This window comes from Homo sapiens, chromosome 18 (genome assembly GCF_000001405.40).
Source record: "Homo sapiens chromosome 18, GRCh38.p14 Primary Assembly".
NCBI lineage: Eukaryota > Metazoa > Chordata > Mammalia > Primates > Hominidae > Homo > Homo sapiens.
The window spans coordinates 57,982,809-58,003,728 of NC_000018.10; the positions used below are offsets into that span (position 1 = coordinate 57,982,809).

The 20,920-nt window shown below is 42.3% G+C and overlaps 2 annotated features.

Moving 5' to 3' along the window:
• Positions 15,669-15,963: an enhancer, noted in NCBI's record as "tiled region #3246; HepG2 Activating DNase matched - State 9:DNaseU". NCBI's record gives its function as "activates a minimal TATA promoter and a strong SV40 promoter by Sharpr-MPRA in HepG2 cells {active_cell/tissue: HepG2}" and the evidence as "EXISTENCE:reporter gene assay evidence [ECO:0000049][PMID:27701403]".
• Positions 15,736-15,936: a silencer, noted in NCBI's record as "peak3168 fragment used in MPRA reporter construct". NCBI's record gives its function as "represses an SCP1 promoter by STARR-seq MPRAs in K562 erythroleukemia cells {active_cell/tissue: K562}" and the evidence as "EXISTENCE:reporter gene assay evidence [ECO:0000049][PMID:32103011]".

Consider the following 20,920-nt stretch of genomic DNA (forward strand, 5'->3'; position numbering starts at 1 on the left):
CAAGAGCCAGGCCTGGCCACCTGCACTGTGGAGTTTTAGGTTAGAGATGGCCCCATCCAGCCCAGGGGAATGCAGGAGAACAAGGGAGCCAGGCGAATGCAGAGGGGAAGGCAGGCGCTCAGCTTCTCATCTTCCCTCCCTGCCCCCTCAAGGAGTCAGTTGGAGGCAGCTTTGGAAATACCTACAAATGTGCTAAAAAGCTGGAAGGCAGAGAGGCATCTGTCCTGCCTCCTGTCCATGGCTCTAGGCTGCCTCTCTCCACCAAGCTGGAGGTAGCTCCATCAAAGTGGAAGCAGCAGTACAATAGGACTAAGCCGATGGAGGAAGGATGGCGTTCCACGTGGTGAACCTGGAAGGTCCCACCTGAATCTGAGGCTTTAGGGAACTGAGAAGACAGCTGGCATGAGGCTCAGTGGCTGGCCATAGGCCTTGCAATGGCCAGGGGTGAGGGGACCTCCTAGCCAAGGGCAGGTGGAGGAGGCAGCAGAAACTCAGCCAGGTCCATGGTGAAGGTAAAAGGAGAAGTTAGGCTTGGCTGAAGCATAGGCATCAAGCAACCAGCCTGGATGAAGCTGAGACAGCAGTGGGTCAGTTCCTAGAGCTGTGATGGCCAGCAGACAGGCAGAAGCAGGGGAGCAAGGAGCAGAGGCTGGGGGAGTTGGGGGGTTCCACCCAGATCCACCTCCTTTCCCCAGCACCTCAAGGGTTTCTGATCCAAACACGAAGTACCTTCCTGGAAAGAAAAAGAAGGGAGAGGGAGGAGAGCAAGGGGGATGGAAGAGAAGACAAAGGAGGAAAGGGAAATGGAAGAGAGAAAGGAATGTTTCTGTGATGCTCATCATTTTTATATAAAGAAGCTGTTACAATTATTGCATCATACTTAGATCAACAGATTAATCTGGAGCTGTTAATATTTTTTGTTATGCAGTAAGTGGGTCTCTTGAGGAAGGCCGTACATTTTACATTTTATCTGAACATCCGGGTGTAGCATCAGTGACTGGGATCCTGCACATAGATTTTCTGTGAATTTGACTGCAGTTGTTGCCCCTTGCAGACATTTCAGCTTTATAACTGAGGAAAGAACAGCTGTGACCACTGGGGCCCCAGACACCCTGCTCTTGCTAACTATCTCCTCTGGGGTGCAGGGTGCTGTGTCTCACAGTTACAGCCCCCCAGGAATAGACTGACTACCCACCACACATGCCACTGATGCGACTCTAGCATCCGCTTTGTCTGGATCTCACCTACTGCCCCTTCATCCTCAATGGATCTAAAGGCTCCCCTTACCATGACCATGTCACAGCTAACATGGACTGCCACCTGCAAAGTGTCAGTCATAGGACCAAATGCTTTGCAACATCATCGTCATCATCATCACCATCATCATCATCATTTTTAATCCTCACATTTACCTTAGATACCAATAATATCAACATTTTCCAAATGGGGAAATTAAGGCTTAGAGAGTTTAAACAGCTTGACCCCAAGTAGGAAGTGACAGAGCTGGGCTTTGAATCCAGGTCATTCAGCTTTAGATCCCATAAATGTTAGCAGCTTCCACAGGCTATGCTGCCACTAGGCAATTTGGGGCTTAGGTCGGCCAGTGGCTCTGTCTTCCTGTGCTTGGAACCCGGGCTCGGGCAGCCCCTTTGTCCAGGAACGTGACCTGCTGCCCACCCAGCTGCTCTCTTGTCCCACAGCACTCGTTGTAGAGGTCCCTGCACGGCCTTCCATGATACCCCTTCTTCTTCACCTCACATGCATCACTCAGACCTCTGACATCACCTCCTTGTTGGTAGAGCTTTCTGTGACTCCTTATGGCAGCAAGTCATTCCCTCCTGCATGTTCCCTTGCCACTGAGCCTGTAGGCAGTGCATTTCCCATGGAAACATAATGGCATATTTATAGGCCAGTCACCTGAGCTGAACTAGGAGCTCCTCGCAGACAGGTGAATGCCATCTTCATCTGTGAGTTTCTAGACTGGAGAGGATGCGGCAGAGACCATGGGCTGCTTTGCTTAAGGCTCATCCAACCCCTGACCAGCTTGTCTTTCAGTACAGCAGAGGCCAAGAAGCAGAAAATGACAGGTGAAGCCAGGTCCCATGTGTAGTTTAGTTCCTGCCAATCAAAAGCATTCATGCGAGACTGATTACAGACTGAGCTATGAAGGGCAAAAGGCAAGGGCCAAGGCATTCATTTTGCTGGAGTGGATCTTGGTTTTTAAACTGTCACAGCAATCTCCTCAGTCAGACAGATCTATATAGTGTGTAGTCTATTTATATTTGTAATGAAAAAAAAAGAATAAATGTAACAAAACTGCCCTCTTAAAGGTTGTTTGTTAATAACCTCCAAGACTCAATTTCAATTTCCATCCACTTGGTCTGTTAACCATGACTCTCTCACTTTTTCAAAGATACCAGGCTTTGCATTGCCTCATATTTAGATCAGAAATTCTTTTAAATTTGTCAAGGATTCCAGCTGTTAGAAAGAGAGTGGGAAATAGCAATGGAGAAAGACAATGTAATCAAAAGGAAGGATTACTGCTGGGCAGCAAAATCCAAAAATGTCCACTGAAAGGTTGGGCATTGTTGCTCATGCCTGTAATCCCAGCATTTCAGAGGCCGAGGTGGGAGGATCACTTGAGGCCAGAAGTTTGAGACCAGCATGGGCAACATAGGGAGACATTGTCTCTACAACAAAAGCTAAAGAGCTAGCTGGACATAGTGGCACACGCCTGTAGTCCCAGCTACATGGGAGGCTGAGACAGAAGGATTGCTTGAGCCCAACAGGTCAAGACTACAGTGAGCTATGATCTTGCCACTTGCATTCCAGCCTGGAAGACTGAATGATATCAAGAAAGAAAGAAAAGAAAAAGAAAAAGAAAAAGAAAAAGAAATCAACTGAATCCCTCAAATCAAACCAAAGAGGCAGGAATCCAGGCTTGCATGCAGCACTCGGCCTTATCTTTTACTTGTATATTCTTTATTACGTATCTCTCCACTTCTAGGATTCTGCGCACCTACAATATCTCTGATGTACCAGAAAACTGTAAAATGCACAGGAAAGCCCCTTTGGGGAGCAGAGTGAAGAGTGAGTAGGAAGTCCTGGTAGAATTTTACCAGCGAGGCAAAGGGAGGCTCAGTGATTGATTGGAGATCTAGTGAGCTGGCAGCCAAACCTCAGGCAAGTCTCCTGACACCTGCTCCATTGTTCCTTTACTGTGTTCTTTATAATTGACTTCTCAGTAAGAGTTGACAATGGCCATAGCAGGTACCCTAGAACCAAAAAGCTGAGTCTCATGAAATCCTGCCCAGCTCCAGGGGCAGTCAGATGGGGACTGGGAATGATAGAGGATGGAAAGTTTTTCATCTCAAGGGTTTTGGTGCATCGTGATGGGCAGTGGTGCGGAGGACGCATCAACAGTTGAACGAAACTTTGTTTAAGAATTGTGTAGGCTGAAAGTGATTGGTGCTTGACAGTGCTTTACCCACTGCTAAAAACAAAGTCTTAATTTTGAGGTGGTGCCAACAGTTTGCTCCACTAGGATGGCAGGGAGCTTCCTTCGGTTTAAATATTTACATTGCATTTTCAGCACCACTCTCAGCCTTACTGTAGCAGGCAACCACTTAGTGGGTGTTTGAAGATGACAATGCCCCACGCTCAGCCCTTCTTTAGCGTTAATGGACAAGAGCAAGCTGTATGTCTTCTTAAATAAAACAGCAGCCTTTTGTGACCTCCCTTTTCTCAGGCAACACCAACTCAATTATTCACTCAGAACTGCAAGGAACACTTCAGACGTTACTCAAGCATTCATCATCCACCCCCACCCCCACAAATCATATAAAGGGAAAATAATCAAAGACATTTAAATAATCACAATTTTTAAAAGTATAAAGCAGAACAGACAGTTTTATTTTAGATCTTAAGTGAAAGTGGATTAAGGTTTTCCTTAGAAAACATTTATTGGAGAATTTCAGATGAATTTCAGTTTTGCCGCCTGGTGTCGAATCCTGCTTTTTAAACCTTGTCTCTGCAGAGTCACCCCTTTTTCTCCAGTCCCACTCTCACTGCTGTTGGTCTGACCCTGTATGTCTGTGATTGGATAGACAGCAACTGTCCCTAGGAAAGGCATAGCATGGGAAAGTGTGGATGTCTCAGTGTCCCTCCTGAGATTCACTCTATGACAATGACTGCATAGCCACCATCATGGCCAAACCACACCCATCCTGCAACACCCAGCCTCTTCCCAGGCCCTCCCGTTAGCACTTGGTGCTACCCATTCTCCGTTCATGGCTTCCCCATTGCCTGGGTCTTTGCTCCAAGGTCTTTGCTTTTCTCACCAAGGGCTTTGCTTTTCTTAGGTGCATCCACATTTTAAAAGCAGGATTCTTATCCAAAGGAATAAAAGGGAACTATCCAGAAATGTATTGAATTATAGAAGTAATGAGTTGGTATAAAAACAAAAGTTCAAATGTTGTAAGAGCTCTTGTATAAAAATAAAATGCCCTCCTCCCTTTGCCCCTCCCAGTCTCACTCCTTAGGCAGCTATTAATACTTTTGACCATTCTTTTTTTTTTGACCTGCCCCTGGAGCTGGGCAGAATTTCATGAGACTCAGCTTTTTGGTTCTGGGGCACCTGCTATGGCCATTGTCAACTCTTACTGAGAAGTCAGTTATAAAGAACACAGTAAAGGAACAATGGTGTTCCTTTGCAGGTGTCAGGAGACTTGTCTGAGGTTTGGCTGCCAACTCACTAGATCTCCAAACAATCACTGAGCCTCCCTTTATACATATCCCTCATACAATATCATAATTGTATAATATAAATACAAGTAATAACTCTAAATAATATGATATGCCCTATTTCTTGATTTCTCTCTTTAAATAGTATCTATCCACTTTTTACCATGAAACTGAAGAGTTTGGTTCATCTTCTCCCTTTTCCCTCCCTCGTCAAATTTTTGTTTATTATATTTTTATCTCTTGGTCCTTCTATGAGTCAACTATAAAAATAAATAAAGACCAATCACATGAGAAAAGCAAAGGCTATTTATTCTGAGCTTGCTGTAGCAAGGGAGTCAGCCACCCACCGTCACTTACATTTTGGCAGAGACTCAAAGGCAGGCAGAGGAGTAGGAAAGCTTTAGATTAGAGAACAAGGAAGGCTTCAGCTATGGTCGGATTGAAGGCTGCTGGCATGCGGAAGCTATAGGTGGACTAAGTAGAAGTAGGGTATCCTATGTGATTAGTTAGGGGTGCGTATTTGGCTTCCTCTGGTTGGTCCTAAGTTGGAAGCAGGGATAAAAATTTAGGAAGCTGTCAGTTATTAAACAAGTCCTGGCCATTTGGGGCTGACTTAGGCTGGCTGGATTGTTTATGGTAGAAAAGGGCATTGGTTTCCTGGGCAGGTTGCTGCCGATCGTGGGTCAAAGTTCATCTACATATATATGGCCTGGCCATTGCCTGCTTGGCTATTCAGTCTCTCACGACTTCATAACTTTAAACAATAGAGTTAAACTTCTATTTCGTGATCTTCCAAATGTAAACAGTGTTTCTTTCTCCCCATTCTGTAAGATACCCACCCCCACCACCAGCTAATCTCCCTCCCTCTACCTCCCAGCTTCTTCCAGCTATACCATTATTTTTATATATGAAAAGTTGTAATCATACTATCCCTTTGGCATGTGTAAATATTCCATGATGTGTCTATAGGTCAATTTTGAAAATCAAGAGCCAGTAAGCAGCATTTACAATATCATAATTGTATACTATAAATATAAGTAATAACAATTTTTTAAATTTTATTTTATTTTAAGTTCTGGGACACATGTGCAGGATGTGTGGGTTTGTTACGTAGGTAAATGTTTCACGGTGGCTTGCTGCACCTGCCAACCCATCACCTAGGCATTAAGCCCCGCATGTGTTAGTAATAAGATAATTAAATGATATAAGTATGATTTACTAGTTGAAAAAAGTAATGAGATTTCATCCATAATTGAACTTAGTGAAAGAAATTTTATATCTGTAAGCCTGTACCACTGGAAGCATAATATTTTAAACATCAATGTAAAGTTGGTTCTCCTTTATTATACATTTTTTTTTCTCAAAGGCCTACATGTCAGATAAACTTTCTTGGTCTTGAATATCTGAAAATGTCAGCGTTTCTATTTCACATCTGATTGATAGTCTGGCTGGATACTTAATTCTAAGTTCCAGGTGTAGGACTTTGAAGACATTGCTTGGTTGACATCTACTATCCAACATTGTGGATCAAGTCATCTGATATCAATCTCATTTTCATTTTTTTATAAGTAATTCATGTTTTTCTTTCTAGAAGCTCTCAGGATTGTCTTTTTATCCTGTTGTTCTAGAATTTCAAGTGGATGTATCCTATGGGCTAAATATTTGTGTCCACCCACCTCACCCCAAGTTCATATGTGGAAACCCTAATGCCCAATGGGACACAATTTGGACATAGTATTTGGGAGGTAATTAGGTCTTTCAGGTTAAGTCCTCCTTAGGGGATTAAGGCCCTTATTAGAAAAGACATCGGAGAGCTTGCTCCCCTGCTCTCTGCCGTCTGCCATGTGAGGAATCAGCGAGAAGGCAGCTGTCTATGAACTAGAAGGAAGACCTTCACCAGGAGCTGACCATGCTGGCACCCTAAGCTCAGACTTCATGAACTGTGAGAAATACATGTTTGTTTTTTAAGCCACCCAGTCTTTGGTATTCAATTATAGCATCCCAAATTGGCAAAGACAAGGTGTCTAGAAAATTATTTTGGATAAAGCCCTGAAATCCTCCCACCAGTTATTCCACCTGTGACTGAGGTTGGCTCTCTCACCAGCATTGCTATAATCTCTTCCCCTCAGACAAGGAATCTTCAGGTATTAATTGGCAAGCTTGTCTTCCAACCCCACGCTTCGACTATGCCAATCCTATTTTAAGTAACTCTTTGAGAGACAGCTTGTTATATCAGAAGGAGAACCCCATGTGATCTCGAGGGAAGGTTATTCAACCTCCCAAAACCTCAATTTTATTATCCATTGGATCAGCGGTCCCCAACCTTTTTGGCACCAGGGAGTGGTTTTGCGGAAGACGATTTTTCCACCGATGGGATGGCGAGGGAATGATGGTTCATGGATGAAACTGTTCCAACTCAGATCATCAGGCATTAGTTAGATTCTCATGAGGAGCACATAACCTAGATTCCTCACATGTGCAGTTCACAATAGAGTTCGAGCTCCTGAGACTCTAATGCTGCTGCTGATCTCTCAGGAGGCAGAGCTCAGGCAGTAATGCTCACTCACCCCACTGCTCACCTCCTGCTATGCAGACAGGTTCGTAACGGACCACGGGCCAGTACTGGTCCATGGCTCAGGGGCTGGGACTCCTGTGTTAGATGGACATAACAGTACTACCTCTTAAGATGTTTGTGAAGCATAAATTAGAGTAAAATGTGAATACAACTCACCTGCCACAAATGATAGGAGTTATTAGGAGCTAACGAAGTGAGACAACATATATATATATAATGATTGTAACTGTGGCGTGTGTGTGTGTGTGTGTAATAAATGTTTGTAAACTACCATCATATAATCATTCCCCAAAACAATGTACTTATAAGAAGAAAACCTGGCCTTGTCCCTACATAAATGGAAGAAAACAAATACAGCATTTTTAAAGTGTAGAAGAAGCTTATTAGAGTGGTTTTCAAAAACATAAATGAGGCCAGGCATGGTGGCTCATGCTTGAAATCCCAGCATTTTGGGAGGCCAAGTTGGGAGGATTGCTTGAGCCCAGGAGGTCAAGGCGGCAGTGAGCCATGATAGCACCACCGCACTCCAGCCTGGGTAATGAAGCAAGACTGTCTCAAACACACACACAAACACACACACAGACACATGAAGATTGTGGAGCTCCAAAGTAGATATAAATGGACAACAGAACCACATACAGGCTAAGCCACAGAAACTACTATCTGGGCCAAGTGTGAGCAGGTAGTGTCTGGGAGGGTGTGTGGACCCTCTCTGGGAAAAAACAAGTGCAAGAAGATGAGGGAATGGGGCGTTGAGAAAGAAAGTGACCTGGGAGAGCAATAACAACTTCTAAGCTGACAACAGCTAAGATAGGGAACATAGCATGTTTGTGTATGCACGTGTGTGTGTGTTTATCAGTATGTCATAGGCCATGTCAAGGAAGGAGAGAAAGAAAATAGCAATAAAAGTAGAATGCAGTAAAATAAATGATGGCAGATAAAATATGAAATAGATTTGGTGTTTTTGAAACATCATCAACAAAAAAAAATGACTAGTAGCCTCTAAACATTTTGTGTAAAGGAACATTTTCAGGCCAGGCACAGTGGTCCAAGCCTGTAATCTCAACACTTTGAGAGGCTGAGGTGGGCAGATCACCTCAGGTCAGGAGTTCGAGACCAACCTGGCCAACATGGTGAAACCCCATCTCTACTAAAAATACAAAATTAGCCAGGCATGGTGGCACATGCCTGTAATCCTAGCTGCTTGGGAGGCTGAGGCAGGAGAATCGCTTGAATCTGGGAGGTGGAGTTTACAATGAACCAAGATCGCACCACTGCACTCCAGCCTGGGCAACAGAGTGAGACTGTCAAAAAAAAAAAAGAAAAAAGGAACATTTTCAGCATATACAGAATTATAGAGAACAGTTCACCACATATATTCACCGCTCAGCTTCAAAAACTATCAACTCATGTCCTGTGTCAGCCATCATCCAATATTTGGTCTTTTGTGACTGGTTTCTTTTACTTAATTTAATGTTATTGAGGTTCATCCATATCGTAGCCTGTATCTGCATTTTATTCCATTTTAATTGGTGAATAGTATTCCATTGTATGGAGCTACCAAATTCTGTTTATCCATTCATCACTTGATAGATCTTTGGGCTGTGCCTGGTGTTTGGCTATTATGAATAATGCTGCTATGCACATTCATGTCTAAGTCTTTCCTGTGGACATATGTTTTCATTTCTCTTGGGTGGATTTTTTGGGTGGATTCTTGGGTAGATTTGTTGAGTATGTTTGTGTTTAACATTTCAACAAGCTGTCATGCTGTTTTCCAAAGTGACTGTACTCTTCAATATTCCTGCCAGCCATCTATGAGGGTTGTAGTTTCTCTCTGCGCACTTTGCATTCTCTCTTTTATTGTAGCCATCCTAGAGCGTGCAAAGTGGTATCTCAATGTGGTTTTAACTTTCATGTTTCTAATAACCAATGATGTTGAGCATATCTTAATGTGCTGATTAGCCATTCCTAGGCTGTCCTTGGTGAAATGTTCACTCAAGGATTTGGGCCATTTTTAATTGAGTTGATTGTCTTCTTATTGAGTTATGGAAGTTCTTTTTAGACTCTTGATACAAGTCCTTTATCAGATATATGATGTGCAAATATTTTCTCCCAGCCAGTGGTCCATTTTCTTCATATTTTTTGAAGTCAAAGTTTTTAAATTAATTCAACTTCAATTTATCAATTTTTTTATGGCTCATGCTTTTAATGCTGAATCCAAGGATCCTTTGCCTAAAGCAAGGTCACAAAGATTTCCTATGCTTTTTTCTAGAATTTTTTACTTTTAGCTTTTACGTTTTGGGCTATTATCCTTTGTGTATGATGGAGGTACTTTTTTGTCGTTGTTGTTGGCATATGGATATATAATTGTGCCATTTGCTGAAAAGAAATCCCATGGAAATGTTTTGACACCTTTGTCAAAAATCAATCAACCATAAATGCCATGAATGCAAGGATTTATTTCCAGACTCTAATCTGTTTCATTGACCTATTTGTCTGTCTTTACATAAATACCACACTGTCTTAATTAACAGGGCTTTGTAGTAACTTTTGAAATGGGGCAGTATGGCTGGGCACGGTGGGTCAAGCCTGTAATCCCAGCACTTTGGGAGGCCGAGGCGGGCAGATCATGAGGTCAGGAGTTCGAGATCAGCCTGGCCAATATGGTGAAACCCTGTCTCTACTAAAAATACAAAAATTAGCCAGGCGTGGTGGCAGAAACCTGTAATCTCAGCTACTCGGGAGGCTGAGGCAGGAGAATTGTTTGAACCCGGGAGGCAGAGGTTGCAATGAGCCGAGATCGCGCCATTGCACTCCAGCCTGGGCGACAGAGCAAGATTCTGACTCAAAAAAAAAGAAAAAAGAAATGGAGTACTAGAAGTCCTCTAATATTTTTTTTTCCAAAATTGTTTTGTGATAAAGTGATCATTTATACCAGAATTTCAACTTGCTTTTAAAACGTGGATGCCTTCTCTGAGACAAGCACTGTGTCTATCATGATTGTAATTCAGTCTATTACCTCAGGCAGAGACATGCATGTTCACAAATAGCACAGCCCTGGTTCAGCCCTAAATTTCAATTGCACACAAGTCATACATACAAGATGCCATGGCAGACAGGGCTAAGAACAACTCAATTTGCTGGAGTTCATTTCAGGAGACTTCACGTAGGAGATGGTGGCTGAGAGGGGCCTTGAAAAATGGGTCAGCTTCATTAAGATGAGCTGAAGAAACTGATCCAGGGCTGGGAAGGAAATGGGTAGAGGTAGCAGGGCTTGAAAGCAGATCAGAGAGGGGTAATTTTGGAGAAGTGGCTAGAGGGAGAACGCAAGGCTGGAAAAGTGAGGTGTGCACCTCAGGCTCAGAAACCTCAGGCAATATTTGGAGCAGCTGAGGGAAGCAGGGGCCCAAGGGGGTAAAAAGGCAGCCAGGCCATTTTCCTGCTCTATGCAAAGGATACAGTCTTGCCAGGTGCAGTGGCTCATGCTTATAATCCCAGCACTTTGGAAGACTGAGGTGGGAGGATTGCTTGAGCCCAGGAGTTCAAGACCAGCCTGGGCAACGTAGTAAGACTCCATCTCTAAAAAAAATACGAAAATTCGCCAGGTATGGTGGCACACGCCTGTAGTCCCAGCTACTCGGGAGGCTGAGGCAGGAGGATCTCTTGAGCCCAGGAGTTGGAGGCTGCAGCGAGCTATGATCGCCTCACTGTACTCCAGCCTGGGTGACAGGGTGAGACACTGTCAAACAAAACAAAACAAAACAAAACCCACAGTCTTTCCCCGAATCCTGTTCAATCCTCTCAAAGAACACTCTATTCTGGTAGGAAAGGTACGAGGAGGGAGCGTGAGCCACCCACACAAATCTTCTGCTCCTACAGGAAGAATAAATAAAACCCTACCGATGTGAGTCGCCAATACCATCTTCAGCCATAAATGACGAAGCATTTTTATTGTTCTTTACCCTGTATGCTTGAAACCTGGCAGGTCTGAGGATTAACATGAGCCACTGTCCTGCCGGAGCAGAGGATGATCTTTGCACCACCCTGGCAACTCCTATTAAAGGCTCAAAGCTTATGCCCTTTTCTTGCTCCTTTTCCAAGTTGGCTGGGTGTTTTTAAAAACTTGCCTTTGCCTCTAGAGCCTTCCTATCAGCCACTGGTATGGGCCAAAATGACCACCATAAGTGTGATGTCCCCTTTTTGCTAAATTTTCAGACTCTAATCTAAAATGGAATTGATTTGTGTAATGTCTGAACCCTTGAGACTATTTCTGCTTGGAATGGAAATTGACTCCATTCATGTTTCAGGAGTGGCAGGCTCCCAGAAATCCAACAGTGTCTTCATCATAGATTCCTGCCAACATGGTTCTGCCTAATAAATATGAACCCAGGTACTGGAGACCATTGATCCCCATTTCAGCCTTCTGAGAGTCTCAGAACATATGCACAAGCAAAGCACCCACATTCTGGTGGCTCTGGGTGCATTGTGTTGAGAAGGGATTTGAGTGAGATGTGTAGGGAGAGGAAGCGGGGCAATGCCAGAGAAATCCTTTCTCCATTTTTATCAGATCTGCTACCTTTTGCTCCCTTGGAGATTCTGAGTAGATATAGTTAAGAATTTTTGAGTGACAAGAGTTATTGATACACATGGTCAATTGGCCAACACACAGCCATGCCAACCTCTTTCTCTCATGAGTGACATCCTGTAGCAAAGCTGAAGAAGTGAGATTCTTCCTTACCCAGCCTTCCTTGCAGCTAAAGACAGCTATGTGACCCAGTTCTAGCCAATGACATATAAGAGGAAGGGTGACAGAATCTTTTGCAAAAATGTTTTCTTTACAAATGAAAGAAAAGAGGCATTTGAGGACAAGTTATTTTATTGTTAGTTTGTGCCCCTCTCCCACTACTTCCTGTCTCGGAATTCTGTTGCAATGTCTGAAGCTGTAGTAGCCATTCTGTAATCATGAGGCCTCAAGCACAAAGATGAAAAACCAGCACACAGAAGATGGTGGAGAAGGAAAGATAGAAAGAGCCCCGCTCTTTGATGCCATCCCTGACCTGCTAGTCCAGCGCTAGTCTGGATTCCTCCAGACTTCTTGTTTGGTCAAATAACAAGATGCCATCATTGTTTAAGCCATGGTTAACAGAGTTTTCTATGGCTGGCAGCCAAATATATTCAAGATAGTGTAGATTCTACTACTTTCTCTCCCCTAACCTCTGGAAGTTGCCTTTACTTACACTAAAATGTACAGAACTCTCCTGGTTCCTGCCCAGAAAATCAATTTATTAAAAAGAGTAGCTGGACTTCCAGTAAAATGCTGTAGCAATAGATGACTATTAGATGGAGGATGATATAGTGATGGTAGTGGGAAGGGCAGGTGCATGGCTCAGGGCCTCTGTGTGATAAGCAGCCCTTGCCTTGCCCTGACTGTTTCATGAGAGATACAGGAAGACCAGTGTTTTCTTTTTTCTTTTTTTTTTTTTTTTGGTCCCTCTCTGGTTAATGAGTGGGTTTAATAGTGACTACCCGGAAATATATACCCCATGCAGAGCTGAAGATCAATATTACTAGAGGGAAGGGAAGAGGAGTGAGGAAGGAAGGGAGGAGACAAGGAAAGGAGGAAGGACAGGAGGAGGGAGGGAGGAAGGTGATAGGTTCAATACAAACTTGAAGATATGGGGGATAGCAGGGGATAGAAGAGTTCTGGAGCAACAAACAATACCAGGATTAAAATCAGAAGCTGAGGAGCAAAATTTGGCTGATGTGGTAGTTGAAAGCAGCCACATGAAGGGGCAGGAGGGCTGTCTGAAGTGAAATTTGTCCCGCGGGGTTTGAGGATGAGAATAAAACAATGTCTTTTTTTCTTTTTTTGAAACAGAGTCTTGCTCTGTCACCCAGGCTGGAGGGCAGTGACATAATCACAGCTCATTGCAACCTCTGCCTCCCAGGCTCAAGGGATTCTCATGCCTCAGCCTCCCGAGTAGCTGGGACTACAGGCACCCACAACCATGCCCAGCTAATTTTGGTATTTTTAGTAGAGATGGGGTTTTGCCATGTTAGCCAGGCTGGTCTCAAACTCCTGATCTCAGGTGATCCGCCCGCCTCGGTCTCCCAAAGTCCTGTGATTACAGGCACGAGCCACCATGCCCGGCCACTTTATTTTGATATGGACAGTTGACTGATGTCTCACATCATGTAAGATGATCTATATATTCAGCGTCCAACCTTCAGGCACAGCTGGTTTTCTTGGAGCAACCTGTATTCCAACCTGTATGCCAGAGCTTCCATAACAAAACTCCACAGACTGGGTGGCTTAAACAACAGAAATAAACTTTCTCACTGCTCTGGAGGCTGCAAGTTCAAGAGTAAGGTATCAGCCAGTTTGGTTTCTTCTGAGGTCACTCTCCTTGGCTTGCAGATGACCACTTTCTTGCTGTGTCCTCACATGCTCTTTCCTCTGTGCACACACATGTCTGTGTCCTAATTTTTGCTTCTTACAAGGTCACCAGTTGTGTTGGATGAGTTGAGGTCACCATGTGACCTCATTTTACCTTAATGACCTCTGGAAAGGCCCTATCTACAAATCTAGTCACATTCTGAGGTAGTGGGGGTCAGGACTTAAACATGTGAACTGGGGCAGGACACAGTTCAACCCGTAACACCCCTGTAACAAATCGCCACAGTGTCTTAAAGCAACACAAATTATTCTCTTACAGTCCTGGAGAACTGTATTAGTCTGTTTTCATGCTGCTGATAAAGACATACCCAAGACTGGGCAATTTACGAAAGAAAGAGGTTTATTGGACTTACAGTTCCATATTGCTGGGGAGGCCTTACAATCACGGTGGAAGGCAAGAAGGAGCAAGTCACATCTTACGTGGATGGTGGCAGGGAAAGAAAGAGAGCTTATGCAGGGAAACTCCCATTTTTAAAACCATCAGATCTTGTGAGACTTACTCACTATCAGGAGAACAGCACAGGAAAGACCCACCCTCATGATTCATTTATCTCTCACTGCATCCTTCCCACAATTATGGAATTATGGGAGCTACAAGATGAGATTTGGGTGGGGACACAGAGCTGAACCATATCAAGGACAGAAGTCCAAAATTGGTTTCACCAAGCCAAAATCAAGGTGTCAGCAGGGCTGCATTGCTTCTGCAGGCTCTCAGGGAGATCTGCTTCCTGGATTTTTCCAGCTTTGAGAAGTCTCCTGCATTATTTGGCCTGGGATCCTTCCTCCATTTCTTAAGCCAGCAGTGGTTGGTCAAGTTTTTCTCACTCCGTGTTACTCTAACACTCCAATTCTGTAGTCAAATCTCCCTCTGCCTCTCTCATTTAAGGACACTTGTAAATACATTTAAGGCCCACCCACAGAACCCAACGTAATCTGCCCACCTCAAAATCCATAATTTAATCCCATCAGCAAAGTCATTTTGCCGTAAAATAATATATTCACAAATTCTGGGGATTCAGAAATGAATACTTTTGGAGGCCATTATTCAGCCTATCATGTGTCATAAATCCACATCTGTACTGTGCACACTGTGCACACTGTAGCTGTACCCCTGAGCTGGTCGGGTGACACCAGAGTTGGTGTCACTGGTGCTTTCCCAATCACAAAGAGAAGAATCTGATGAGTGTGTGTCATGTTCTGGGGGAGTGGGGCTGAGACTAGTTAATAAACTCGATTCCTCTAGTTCTGTAATCCCCATATGCCTTGCAAATTAAGTGGTTTAAGGAACTCCTTTAGGTCCCTAGAGCCCACCAAATGGAACTCTCCTGAGGACCCCAGTTTAAAAAGTAATGAGGAAAAACAGTGAGGACAGGGGGGTTTGCTTGTCCCTAAAGAATCAGTCACACAGCTCAGCAGTCGAGCAGTCACAATGGAACACCAAGAATGTAGCACTTTGCTGAGTCAGCATCTGCAAATCTGAGCTGAGCTGCTTCTCCAGCAAAGACCAGTTCCCAGGGTCCACCATCCACACACTTGTTTCAGGCCCTCATTCCTAGGTGTGCCCCGGACCAAGGGCAAGCCACATGGAATGATCCTATATGCATTTTTATGTTGATGAAATTGGGTGAAAATGAGAGAAGACTGGGAGATGCTGAAGGTAGAGGAATAGGCCCGTTTGCTTTTCTTTGATGATAGAGAACTTTTGAAACCAAATGTATATATATCACCCCCATGTATTTTTTTTAAAGTCTCACCTAAGAGATACCTATGATCTTTTCCTATTTTAAAATATTTTAAGCATTAAGAAAATTTTAGAGAATTGATTATTAAACACAAGTACATTCAGTCCAGCTGTCAGACTTTAACATTTTGCCATATATAATTCATATCTCTCTTTTTTAATAAATAAAATACAACAGAAGATTTTTAGAGTAGTTACACTATTCTATATGATCCTATACTAATGGATACATGTCATGATGCATTTGCCAAAACCCATTGAATGTATGACACTAAGACTGAATGCTAATGTAAATTATGGACTTTGGATGATAATGATGAGTCAATGTAGATTCATCAGTTACAACAAATGTACTACTCTGGGGCAGGATGTAGATAGTAGAGAAGGCTGTGAGTACATGGGGGCAGGGAATATATGGGAAATCTCTGTACCTTCTACTCAATTGTTCTGTGAACCTAAAAATACTCAAAAATAAACTTTATTTAAAATATATATATAGACTGGTCATGGTGGGTCACACCTATAATTCGAGCACTTTGGGAGGCCAAGGCAGGTGGATCACTTGAGCTCAGGAGGTGGAGGCTGCAGTAAGCTAAGATCACGCCACGGCACTCCAGCCTGGGCAACAGAGTGAGACCCTCTTTCAAAAAAAATAAGATAAAATAAAATTATATATATTTTTTTATATAGTGCACACAAACACATATAAGACAGTTGAAGTACCTTATGTACCTTTCTGTAATATCATATTCCCCCAGAAGTATTTGAATTTGAGGTTTATTATCCCATTTTTGTCTTTATAATTTTACCTTATGTATAAATATCTGTAAAGAATTAACTGTATATATAGTTTTGCATATTGTTAACTTTGTTTCAATGGTACACTGTGTGTATTCCTCTAAAACTCACTTTTATTGTTCAGAATTTGAAATGTATTCATGTTGATTTATTCATTTATCTTTAACAGTGATACAGCAAACAGTGATACAGTACTTCAGCTTATTTATCCACTTACCTATTGAGAGAAATCTAGCTTGTTTCTAGCTTTTGTGCTATCGCCAACCATGCTGCAAAGAACAATGTTGTACGTTTCTGCTTATGCTCTTAGGTGCTAGCTTCTCTGACATAGACTCTTAGGAGTGGAAATGCTGGGTTGTAGAAAATGCACATCTTCATCATTAAAGATGTGACCAAATTCCTTTCCAAAGTGATTGTACCAATTTACAGTCCCACTACCAGTACATGATAATCACCATTGCTCCACCAATTCACCAGCACTTGCTGTTGGCACTCATTTTAATATTTACCAATCTGTTCAAAATAGAATGGCAGTTGGTTTTAACAACCATTACATTGGGTATTAGTGAGAGTGAGCATCATTGCATGTATGCATTGGTCATTCATGTTTCTTCTGTAAATTTCCTGTTCTTGTCCTTTGACCATTTTTCCCCATTGGGTTGTTTTCCTTTTTCTCATTGATTTGTGAGAGTTCTTTATATAATTTGGACATTAATCCTGTATTAATTACATTCATTTTAAATATTGGATTCTATTTTAAGGCTTGTCTCTTAATTTTATTGGTCCTTTGTTGCACAGAAGCTTTATCTTTTTATGCATTGAATTTTATCAGCATTTTAAATGTTTATTTATTTATTTATTTTTAATAATAGAGGTGGGGGTCTTACTCTATTGCCCAGGCTGATCTTGAACGTCTGGCCTCAAGTGATCATCTTGCCTCAGCCTCCCAAAGGGCTGGGATTACAAGCATGAGCCACCTTGCCCAGCCATGTTTATATTTTTTAAGGATTATTTAAGAAAGCCCTCTTGGCTAGCATATCTCAATGATGTCCTTTTAATTTTGAAATGATTTTTACTTTTTTCATTTAGATGTTAATCTCCTTGGATTGATTTTAGTGTAGGGTTAGGGACCTAATTGTGTTATTTTCCTTAAGGAAAACCAACTGTCTCAGCATCATTTATTAATTTAAAAAAAATATTTCTCCAGTACTCTTTATTAATTTTTTGAAATCTCCCAATTACTTTAATGCACTGTCTCTGCCATTTGTCAAGTGGTCAGAGGGAGCCTATTTCCATGCTGATTCTGTTCCATTGGTCTATTTGCCTGTCCCTGCCATCACGTCTTCTATTTATTACTGTGGCTTTTTAATGTCTTAGCTGATAGAGCAAATCTCTCTACCTTGTTCTTCTACATTTGTCTTTCTTTTTTTGACCCTTGCTTTTCCAAATAAATTTTGGAGTTGGTTTGTTAAGTTCCAGAGACAGAAAGATTCTCTGCTCGGATTTTAAAATTAATTTGGGGAAATTTATCAATAAATTAGGGGAAATGTGATACCTGTACAATACTGAGTCTTTGCCATACTATCTTACTCTTTAATTTTAAATTTTCTTTTTATTAACATGAGTCCATAATCCTTATCTGAAACTCTTAGGGTAAGCATGTTTCAGAATTCAGAAATTTTCAGATTTAAAAAAGGCAAAAGGCAATATTATCTCTGTATAATATGTTACATATTATCTCCCAGTGTCAATGCTATTTACGATTTTCCTCTTATTTTGGTTGAGCACATTCTCAGGTATAGTGCTGTGCAATAGAAGTTCTGCAGTGATAGAAATGTTCTATATCTGCGCAATCAAATCAATGCTCGGGCTGGGCTCAGTGCTCGCACCTGTAATCCCAACACTCTGGGAGGCCGAGGTGGGTGAATCATTTGAGCTTAGAAGTTCGAGATCAGCCTGACCAAAATGGTGAAACTCCATCTCTGCTAAAAATACAAAAATTAGCTGGGCATGGTGGCATGCACCTGTAATCCCAGCTACTCGGGAGACTGAGGCACGAGAATCTCTTGAACCCAGGAGGTGGAGGCTGCAGTGAGCCAAGATCTCACCACTACACTCCAGCCTGGGCAACAGAGCAAGGCTGTCTCAAAGCATAAATATAAAAATAAAAATAAAAATTGATGCTCACTAGCCACATGTGGCTATGGAGCATTTGAAATGTGGGTAATGTAACTAAGGAATAAAATTTTAAATTGTGTTGAACTGTAATAAATGTAAATTTAAATAAGCATCTGTGGCAAATGCCTACCATATTAGACGGCACAGCACTAGTAGTTTCCAGAGAAAGGGTTCATGGGAGGGAATGTTTTGAGTCCTTACACTCCAAAAATACATTTATTCTACCCTCACACTTAATTGATGGTTTGGCTGAGAATAAAATTCTAGGTTAAAAAATAATTTTACCTTAAAATTGTGAAGGTATTGCTTCATATCTCCCTAGCTTCCAGTATTGCTTTTTGCTTTTTTTTTTTTTTTTTTGACAGGGTCTCTATCACTCCCAGGCTGGAGTACAATGGTGTGATCATAGCTGGCTGCAGCCAGGAACTCCTGGGCTCAAGTGATCCTCCTGCCTCAGCCACTGGAGTACCTAGGACCACACCACAGGTGCATGCCACCACACTCAGCTAATTTTTCTAATTTTTCTGTAGAGATGGGGATCTTGCTATGTTGCCCAGGCTGGTCTCAAACTCCTGGGCTCAAATATATCTCTCACCTTGGCCTCCTAGAGTGCTGGGATTACAAGCATGAGCCACTGTGCCCCACCTAGTATTACTTTTGAGAAGTCAAAAGAACATCTTAATTCCCTGTTTGAGGATTGTGATCTGCTTTTGCCCTCTGAAAGTTTTAAGGTTTTATCTTTGTCCCAAGCATTTTTGGGCTTCCTGATGCCATGCTTTGTTGTGGGTTTATTCTCATTCAGTGTCCAGGGCATTTGGTGGGCCTTTTCAATCTGGAAATTCATATCCTTCAGTTCTGAGAAATTTCCTTGAATTATCTCATTGATTATTTCTTTCCTTTGTTATTTTCTGTTCTCTTTCTCTAGAACTTCTGTTATTCAAATGGTGGACATTCTGTACCAGTCTTCTAATTTTCTTATATTTTTCTCCTCTTTCCATCTATTTGTTTTTACTGTGCTTCCTGGGAAATTTTTCAGGTATATTTTCCCAGACTTTCTATTGAGTCTTAAATTTGTGTCTTCATATTTTTAATTTCTAACTGGTATTATTTTTGTTCCCCAAGAGCTCTCTTTTTATAACATTTTTTCTTGTTTCATGGTTGCAATATTTTCTTACCTCTCTAAGAATATTGGTAGATTTTTAAATGTTTTCTTCTACCTGTTTCCTCTTTTTCTGTTCATCTGCATTGGTTTCTACACAACTAGCTTGAGGCTTTCCTTGACAGCTGGTAATCCTTGGTTGTCAACTCATATACATAAGAGTTGGGGAAGGAAATGTTCTTAGAAAGCTCTGAGTATATGTCTGGGGTTTGGCACCCATTAACCTCACTGTGGAATGATCTGGCTAAACCATTTAGTTGGGAAACCTGATGTCATCTGTATCTTTAGGTGTTTCCTCCTTGCCTGTTGAGATTCTTCACAGCCGATGGTTCCAATCTCCTGCCAGGGAGGCATTGGCCTGGCTGCTATTTTTCTGTTATTCCAGAGAAGAACGTGGACAGAAGGCTTCAGCATCCAGTGTATATGGCTTACTAAGTCCTCCCTCCCCTTTCCAGTTCGATACTTCTGTACTTACTCCAGAAACTATCTTCAGTGGAAAAACCTTGAATCTTCTGCCAGTGTGAGGGGATTGTAGGGGAAGATCTATGGATCTGATTTTTTTTTCTTTTCTTTTTGAGACAGGCTGTCACCTTGTTGCCCAGGCTGGAGTGTAGTGATGCAAACATGGCTCACTGCAGCCTCCACCTCCTAGGCTCAAGCAATCCTCCCATCTCACCCTCTTGAGTTCCTAGGACCACAGGCATATGCCATCATGCCTGGATAATTTTTTAAACTTTTTTGTAGAGATGGAGTCTCACCAAGTTGCCCAGGCTGGTCTCAAGCTGCTGGGCTCAAGCGATCCTGCCACCTCAGCCTCTCAAAGTGCTGGGATTACAGGTGTGAGCCACCATGCCTGGACACTGATTTTTAAACAGCCTTTCAGATAAACCTCCTTACTTTAGCAATCTTTTTTTATTCCATATTCTCAAAGGTGCCTGATGCCACCAATTTTGGGGTTATTGGGTCATTTCTTCTGTGTTACAGATCAGGTCTCAATTTTCTCCACTGCCAGCTTTGAATTCAGTTTTTTGTTTTGTTTTGTTTTGTTTTGAGACAGTCTTTCTCTGTTGCCCAGGCTGGAGGGCAGTGGCACGATCTTGGCTCACTGCAACCTCCACCTCCCAGGTTCAAGAGTGAATTCAGTTTTTTTGGCTCTGCTAAGCCGCTTTATAAGCATTTCTCCAATTTTCAAAATTTGGAAATTTTTATCTTCTATTGTTATCTGTTATCTTCTCTTCAATGCTCTTCATCCTTATGGGTTTATGTCTT